Raw genomic sequence first — 9,517 nt, 5'->3', positions numbered from 1 at the left:
AAATTATGCCCATCCACATCTCATATACTTAAGGTGATTATTTACTTATTGTTATTCAATGTAACATTTTTAGAAAGTTATCTTTAGCCCAGTTGCAATAGGAATATTTTTTGTTACTTACATAAGGGGATTAAGACTCAGGCTATAAGGCCTGGGTATGGTGGCTCATGCCTATAATCCCAGCACTTTGGGAGGCTGAGACAAGAGAATTGCTTGAGCCCAGGAGTTTGAGACCAGCCTGGGCAACATAGTGAGACCCTGTCTCTAACAAAACTAAAATTAGCTGGTCATGTTGGTGCACATCTGTAGTTCCAGTTACTCAGGAGGCTGAGGTGGGAGGATTGCTTGAGTCCAGGAGATCAAGGCTGTAGTGAGCTGTGATTGCCCCAGGCAACAGAGTGAGACCCTGTCTCAAACAGCAACGACAACAACAAAACCCACTCAGGCTATATTTAAACTAGATGAGGCCAGATGTGGTGGCACATGTCTGTGGTCCCAGCTACTGAAGAGGCTGAGGTGGGATGATTACTTAAGCCCAGGAATTCGGGGCTATAGTGAGCTATACTGATGGGGTATCTATACTGTTTGGCATCAATATGGTGGCCACTGGGGAGCATGGTACCACCAGGTTGCCTAAGGAGGGGTGAACTGGCCCAGGTTGGAAACAGAGTGGGTCAAAACTTCTGTGCTGGTCAGTAGTGGGATCATGCCTGTGAATTGCCACTGCACTCCAGTCTGGGCAACATAGCAAGACCCCATCTTAAAAAAAAAAAAAAAACTAATGGGAAAGTGAAATTCTACAGGGGCCTTGTTATAACATACCTGGCTATAATAGAGAGTGCTTGATCTCTGTTCAGATGGGAAGTGTTGTCTGTTAGAAAACAGTGCCATTGCTTCTCCTCCAGGACTCAAGCAGTGAGGATCCATCTCACCGAGTTGTATTCTAAAAAAATTGCCTCAGTGAGAGATGAACTGAGTATTCCTACTGCTGATTTGCAAATTGCTACAACACTCTTGGAGAGCAATTTGTTAATTTTTTTCCAACAAATATTTTTTGAGGGTCTTTGATCTGCCAAGTACCAGTTTGACTTTTGGGGATACAACAATGGACAGAAAAGGGCCTCATGGGGCTTACAGTCTAGTGGGGGAAGACAGAGAATAAACAAGGAAACAAATAAAAAGGGTGATGAGTGCTGTGAAAAAAAAATATGCCCATGTCTGCCAGAGAGGCCGGGAGAGAAGCATCGTCGGAGTGGAAGGCCTCTTGGGCCCCTCTTGGTTCTCTTGGGCCTCTGGAGGGATGGCATTTGTGCTAAGGCCTGAAGGAAGGGTAGGAAGCAGCAAGAAGGGCCTTCCAGGAGGAAGGAAGAGAAAATATGAAGGTCCCAAGATAAAGATGAGTGAATTCCAGGGCAGAAGAGAAAGCCAGTGTGTTAGGGCCTGGTGCAGAAAGGGGAGCGGGATAGGGGCGCGGTCAGAGGTAAGGCTGAGACTGGACCAGTTTGGGCCTGGGTGCCAGGGTGAGTCTTTGGTCATGGTACACGGAAGGGTTATCTGTTTGAAGTTGCGGAGGGGCATGATGTGATGCTCTGCGTCTAAGAATTATTATTTTATCTGCTATAAGGAGAATTTTTGTAGGGCTAAAAGTGGAAGCAGTCCTTATCAGGAAACCCAAACATTTATAACTTTTTGGAATTTCTCACTCCTGGGACTGGCTTTAGAAAGTGATCCAAAATTGTAAGGGAGATCATCAGTGTTTTGGTCAGCCTGGCATTTAGTCCACTTGCTCTGGTGATGGCTGCCCAATTTCTTATTTTTCTTTTGAGAAATCACATCCTTCCCTCACCCATCTCTAGTCCTTAGGGTGGGCTGACCCTACAGATGGGTACACACCTGGCCTGGCAGACTCGTTCATTAACTCACTTGATAAATATTATCAATATTGTAGGGTGGGATAGAGCTGTAAACAAATGGTGTCACCCCTTGTGGTTCTTGTGAAGGTGACAAATTATACTACATGAATATATAACACAACATCAGGGAGCAATAAGTCAGTGAAGTCAGAGAAAGCGAATAGACAGTGAAGGGGTGGTCAGCGGGGACTGAAGGAAGTGAGGGAGCACCAAGCCATGGGGACGGGGGGGGAACTGTGTGGAGGCAGAGAGGATAGGAACAGTGGTCATCAGTGATGGGCAGGCTGGGTGGGCTCAGGAAACAGCAAAGGGGCCAGATGAACAGAGCAGGGGAGGTGCAAGAGGGAGCAGGGCTGTCCTGTTGGCCATCCAGAACATTCCCTTGCCCTGGCTCCAGTGACTGGCTCAGGCCTAGGTGCTGGACCTCAGTCATGTGAATGAGCCATCATTGGACTTCCAGAATGATTGGGAAAGAGCTGCCATCTTTCTGAAAGAATGTAAAGGAACAGGCCTAAGAGCGAAGCCAGCACAGAAGGAAGTGGCCCAGAAGACAGAAAGGTTCCGAAAACAAACATCATTTAGCTGCTGTGTCCAGCTGTGCCCAAAGCTAATCCACACTTAGCTTTTCGCTGCGTAAACTAATACATTTTCTTTTTTCTCAAGCCAAGGCAAACTGATTTCCTTTGACTTGCAACCTAAAAGTCTTCACCAAATATAGCAATATTGAAAATTTTTTATGTGTAAAGATGTGAATTGCAGAATATTTATGGTAGCAAAATACTGGGAGCAACTTCAATGTCCCAAAATGGTTATAAAACACACATCCCATAATAGAATAGTATGCATTCATTAAGACTGATGTTAGAGAACTCAGAGTAACATGAGAAAATGATTGTTTTAAAGAAAAAGCAGAAGTTCTATATGCAGCATGATCTCAATTATGTAAACACATTCTCATAAAGCAAATACAACAAAATGCAAATTCACATAAGTAAATGCAAATGGTGGGATTTTTTAACTATAGTTTTACTTTTTTCAGTTTTTAATTTTTCTCTAGGGTACATTTCTTTTTAATAATCAGAAAAAGAAAACAATTCTCTTTAATTTTAAATAAAGATAACATGGAGGAAAAATTGGAAACAAATGACCTCTTGTACATGCAAAAGTGCTTTACATCACAATGTCCAAGAGCACATAGACACCACTCTCCCCCATGCAGAAGGACATGCGCTTTACGCGATACATGCCATCTAGTTTTTTCACTACTGTGAGCATACCTGACTTCTCTCTAGTAACAAGGCAAAAAGTGCTTCATTTTGGAAGTGCTGAAATTCTGAACCCACTAGTGCACCAGTGGTAAATTATCATGTTACCTGTTATGCCAGATGACCAAGAGCTAAGGACATCCCCCTGCTAAAAGCAGTTTATTTCTTGTACACCAAGGGTCAGGCCTCATACAGAAAACATGAGCAAACTGATGACTATGAAAATAGGAACTGTTACTTTTTAATGTTTTCTGCAAAAGCTTTTGAAATAAATAGTTCACTGTTTTGCAGATCACGTTACTAGAAGGACACATTTATAGTTGTGGGCGGATGTGGAATCAGAGGGAAATTTACACTGGACACCACCACCAAGCCCAAATTATTATAATTTAGTCTTGAATCACTTTAATCAACACTTTAAAATATTTTGGTATTCTTAGCCATAATTTATTTTGTTCTCTTACAAGTGCTCTTTAGCAGTTTTCTGGATCATCAAATAAGAGTTCAGTAAAATTTACTTTTGGGTCAATTAGTTGGAATGACACTTTTGGAATTATCAATTACTTTATTTCTGATGAATTTTGAACAGGACTCACCAACCTCATTTCTTAGTTTAGCCGTTTTGAGTTACATAAAGACAAAAACATGGCAAGGATTTTACAGCAGGAAAATGATTTGTTTTTGTTTTTCAACATTCCTATAATCCAGAGAGCTGAAGAAATCTTTGATCTAGAAAGCTTGGAAATTCAAAGCCCCTCAAGGCACTTCTTTTTTTTTTTTTTCAAATTAAAGAAGAATTAAAAACAGTATTTGTAATGGAAAATTTTGGTGCCATTAAGTACATAATGGCTTTTACTTTAGTCTGTAATTCATCCTGTGGATTTAAGATTTTGGCCAAGAGTAAGTTTTAGGTGTGATATAACATAAGTGCCTCCAAGGTTTGCTAGTGTTACTGACATTCTAGAGTGGTGGAAAAACAACTGGCATTAATGCAGAATTGGAGTGACTAGTCCCAGGAATCAAGTCAGAAAAAAAGACCAACTGACAAATAGAGTTAATACAAAATGAATTTTAAAATCCCACCCTAGGCCAGGCGCGGTGGCTCATGCCTGTAATCCCAGCACTTTGGGAGGCCGAGGCGGGCGGATCACAAGGTCAGGAGTTCGAGACCAGCCTGGCCAATATGGTGAAACCCCATTGCTACTAAAAATACAAAAATTAGCAGGGCATGGTGGCAGGCACCTGTAATCCCAGCTACTTGAGAGGCTAAGGCAGGAGAATTGCTTGAACCCGGGAGGCGGAGGTTGCAGTGAGCCGATATCCCACCACTGCACTCCAGCCTGGGCAACAGAGCGAGACTCTGTGTCAAAGGAAAAAAAAAATTCCCACCCTAGTTAGATTAGGATGCAGAGGACTCACAGATTTGGAGGATTTGGAGGACCCAAATTACCAAAACCCCTTCTATTACACACTTGTAAAGTTTTATTAGCAGTCAGGTACGTTTTCAGGTACGTTTCCACCCCCATTAACTTTTCAGAGCATGTGAGGACTTTCTTCCTGGAGCATGGTGGGCCTTCAAAGCGCTGTTAAAACTACAGCCGCCATTTGTCCGAGGTGGTAACATTATGTCCTGTTATAGATATCCTGGATCTATTTCCAGGATCCAGATATCTCTATTTGAAAATGACCGTTTTTCTTCCCTGGTCTTAAAAGACAAGCCTGCTTCCGGTGCCTCTGCTGGACACCAGGAGCTGCACTCTGACAAACTGTCCAGGGTAAAGGAGGAAGAACTGGTCAGCCTAGGGCACAGAAACTCCAGACTTGATTTAACCGTGTCTGCTTGAAGCATAGCCTCTCTTACAAAGACTTCAGAACTCCTGAATTGGCTCCAAGCCTTGTGTGAGGTGCTCTCTGCTTGCCACTGGCCATCCCTGGGTACTCAATGTGGGGCTCTTTTGGGAAGCCATCTCCAGATGCTTCCTTACTCTGAGCTGTACCTGCTTATGGCCCTGGTGTCTCCCATCTCCTCCCTGGACTGGAAGCTCCTCTCTAGGGCAAGGATTAGATCTCATTCATAATCTACCCCCAGACAGAGTATTTCACACCTAATTAATGTTCAGTAAGTATGTTCAGAATAAATGTATATTAGTCCCTTTTCATGCTGCTGATAAAGACGTACCCAAGACTGGGCAATTTACAAAAGAAAGATGTTTAATGGACTCACAGTTCCATGAGGCTGGGGAGGCCTCACAATCATGGTGGAAGGTTAAAGGCACGTCTCATATGGTAGCAGACAAGGGAAGAGAGCTGATGCAGGGAAACTCTCCCCTACAAAATCATCAGATCTCCTGAGACTCATTCATCACCATGAGAACAGCATGGGAAAGACCCACCCCCTACAATTCAACCACCTCCCACCGGGTCCCTCCCACAACACGAGGGAACTGTGGGAGCCACAAGTCAAGATGAGATTTGGGTGGGGACACAGCCAAACCCTATCAAAATGGCCAAAAAGAATATGCTCAAATTTAGACTATGAGGTACTTATAATCCCTCAAGCCCCTGAAGATTGTCAAACACTGGACTTGCCTTTCAGCTATTTCTACTATTTTTCAAAAGACTTATCTTAAAAAAAAAAAAAAACAACTTTTTATTTTCTGAATTGAGGTTTGAAGGGCATGACAGAAGTAGACTGGCAAAAATGAGGTGAGTGGCAGATGGCAAGAGGAAAGGCCCAGGGGAGGTGCACATGAGCGGAGCAGGTGAGATTTGACCTAAGAGGTGAGAAGGAACCACCCTCCCTAGAGTCTTAGGTACTGTGAAGCATGGCATCCACTCTGCAAACCATTAAATTCGAATCCCCATTTGTTGGGTGATTTATGTGGCACTCCTGGGGCCCCATGAAGCAATTATATACAATCATACCGTTCACCACTTGTGAATTCGGTAGCAGTATGATGTATTGACTGAGGACAAAGTCACAGGTTTGATCTCGGTGCTCTGCTTTGTTCCTGACCAGATTAAACTGGGGAAAAAGTTGGAAATGGTTCTGCAAAAATCTGTCACCATGGTGGGAAAAACCTAGGCTCATTTCCTTCTGCTGATGGGTCTGTGTTGCATCTAGTTTTACTTTCAAACAGCTGCAGATATCCTGGAAATGGGAAGTGGAAGTGTCTGAACTATAGAGGAAACAAGGCCCAGGAAAGGATTTCTCCAGCCACGTGGAGCTCCCTGAGCTTCCTAAAGATAGGAGTCCCACCCTTCCAACCTCCATCCATGAATAGCACCAACATCCACCCAGTTGTTCAAGCCAGAAACCCATCCTTCACTTCTTCCTCCCTTCCCTTTACCTTCCACATCCAAATCCATCAGCGAGTTCACTTATAGCGCTGCAATACATCCTGAATCTCTGTATCTCATCCTCTCCACTGCTGCCACCCTACACCAGGTCACTTCTCATCTACTCAAGTGGCCTCCTAAGTCTCTCTGCTTCAAATCCTGAGCCTGTCCAGTCCACTCTTCACAAGCAACTGCAGTAGTCTTTTAAAAATAACTCAGATAAAGTGTGAGCCATTATATACATTACCCTAAATTGCATAGTTTGCCCACCTCACTAGCCGTAGCCCCTCATTATCCTCCAGGCTCACTGGCTTTCCTTCAGGACCTTGACTGAAGCTCTCTTCTGATTTGGGGCTTTGTAACTTGCTGATGTCCCTGCAACACCCTTCCCCTTCCCTGTTGCTTTTCCTGGCTAATTCCTCCAATATTCTTTAGGTCTCAACTTCAATGTCACTATCTCAGAGAAGGGCCCTTGCCTGCCCAAATCTAGGTATCTTACCTATGTACAAGTAAACCTTCTTATTTTCCTTCATCAACACTTAACACATACTTTATAATTACAATTGTTCAAGTATTTATCCAGCCAATATCACATTATTCTGTAAGTTTCATAAGGGCAAGGATTCTAGTTTACCAAGGTCGAATTTGGAAAGATACCAAGGTTTTAGAAAAACACCATGTTGCCTGCTGTGATGAAGAAAAGTTACTATAACTAGGTATAAAATTCATGTAAAATATGGCAATTTCTAAGTGAATGGTATATTTTTTATTACATTTAAAATACCTTACTTATTTTGTCCAGTCATCCTGTTATTTGCTTGAGTTGCTGAGCACTGGACTGCTGCCTTAAAGGGTGGCTCATGCCTGAAACCCCCACTACAAAGTCACCAGCTTCTTGCAGTAGCCATGCTGGCATTCTGTTTGATTTTGTGCCCGCTCCTTCTAGAAGTATTGAGGTGTTTTTTTTTCTTTTTTAATTAAAAAGAAATTGAACATTTAAAAATGCACAATATGAAAATAATTTGAAGTGCCCTAGGACTGTGGTTCTCAAACTTTATGGTGCATCAGAATCACCCGGAGGGCTAGTCAGCTCTCCAGACTGCCTGATTCAGCAAGTCTGGGGTAGGGCCTGAAAAGTTGTACAGAGTTCTTGGGTGATGCTGATGCTACTGGTTCAGAGTTCACACTTTGAAAACCACTGTCCTGGGGTGTCACGAAGCTATGGTTTATAAACACTGAATTAGCTTAGGTATTTGTAAAAAGAATAGACATTTAAGAGATCATCCAAATATGTAGTTACATAATCCATTAACCACTCTTTGTCAGACTGGTGAGCAAACTATACACAGTCACTGTTTTCAGAACAAGGAGGATGTAACAAATCACACCTGGAATCCGGGAAGATGTTAGCCAATCTTGATTTCAAGGTCATTTACTCAAAACACAGTTCTGAAACCCCTGCTATGGAATATGCAGCCAGCACTGAACTGGGGGCCAGAACATAGGCTGCCATCCACCCACCCATTCAACAGTTGTTCTTCACATTGACTCTGGGCCTCACACTAGAGAAACTGTTCACAAGTCAGACGCTACCCCTGCTCTGATGGAGTTCACATTCTTTGAAGGAGAAAGGCAGTAACAAGTTCACAAATAAACAGGATAACTTCAGATGGTGATAGCAGCTCTGAAGGAAGCAACAATAGAATAATGGTATGGAGTGGGGCCTAGGGTGCTACTTTAGATGGGGTGACTGAAGAAGAACTCTTTGAAAAGATGACATTTAAGCTGATACCTAATGGGTGAGAATGAGTCAGCCTTTGAAGAAGGATGAAAAGGGTTTCAGGCAGAGACTGGCAGGTCCAAAGGTCTTGTGGAGAGACCAAGGTTGGCATGTTCTAGGAACTGAAAGGCCACTGTTGCCAGTAAGCACCTGCAGGAAGAATGTAGAAAGAACTCGGAGAGGGCAGCAGAAATTTAAATGTTTTTCTTAGTGGGAATGGAATCTACTGGAAAACTTTGAGCAAGAGAGTGATATGATCTGATCAACATTTTAAAAAGATCACCCTGGTTTTTGTGTCGAGAATGGACTGCAGTAAAAATGAAATCAAAGAGCCCTGGGAGGAGGCTGCTGTTAGCATGGAGCTTGGTTTAATCAAGTGAGATGGGAAAGCACTTTGCAATTTATAACATTGTGGAAATATTAGCAGCTATTGCAATACTAGTTCTGATTTAAGCGTTCATGTCTGGTTCAGAATTGCACATAGGCCGCACAACTATAATCCCAGCACTTTGGGAGGCTGAGATGGGAGGATTGCTTGAGCCCAGGAGTTCAAGACTAGCCTGGGCAACATGGTGAAACCCTGTCTCTACAAAAAAAAAAAAAAAAAAAAAAAAAAAAATCAGCTGGGCACAGTGGCGTGTGCCTGTAGTCCCAGCTACTTGGTACGCTGAGGTGGGATGATTGCTTGTTTCCAGGAGGTGGAGACTGCAGTAAGCCGAGATCATGCCACTGTACTCCAGCCTGGGCAACAGTGGGAGACCCCATCTCCAAAAAAGCACATAAATACAATTCTATTGTGAGGCTGATTAGGGACTGGATTCGCCCAAGCTTTATTAACTGGTATCCTTGGTCAAGCTATTTCACTTCTCTAAGCTTCCTTTTAATCACTTTAAATTGGAATAAGAATACACACATTTTTAAAGATGTTGTGAAGCTTCAATGAGATGGTCCATTAACATGATTTAGCCCAGTGCCTCTTGGCCCCTAAATTAGTATTCATTCATGTTAGCTACTATTTTTATTAATGTCTCTGATCTTCAATTTCTTCTTCAGTAAAATGGGGCACTAAAAACTACTCTGTAAAGAACTTAACGTGATAAAATATGCAAAACCCTAGTCCAACAATACATGACATCCAGTAGAAACTCAGTACATAGGAGTTCATAGGAGTATCTAAATGACATAGAATATTGTAGCTAGGGACACCAATGTCCTAGCTG

General features: G+C 42.8%; 1 protein-coding gene and 1 pseudogene across 1 annotated transcript in view; one reads left to right on the top strand and one right to left on the bottom strand.

The window, feature by feature from the left end:
• Positions 1-9,517, bottom strand: part of SNX24 (sorting nexin 24) — a 183,706-nt gene that overhangs the window by 6,069 nt on the left and 168,120 nt on the right. The gene's annotated exons all lie outside the window — the stretch shown is intronic.
• RN7SL689P (RNA, 7SL, cytoplasmic 689, pseudogene) lies at positions 467-761 on the top strand (annotated as a pseudogene).

Source organism: Homo sapiens, chromosome 5 (assembly GCF_000001405.40).
Source record: "Homo sapiens chromosome 5, GRCh38.p14 Primary Assembly".
NCBI classification, from domain to species: Eukaryota; Metazoa; Chordata; class Mammalia; order Primates; family Hominidae; genus Homo; species Homo sapiens.
Note: the sequence above shows the minus strand (reverse complement) of the source record. Positions and strands in the feature narration are given on the sequence as shown.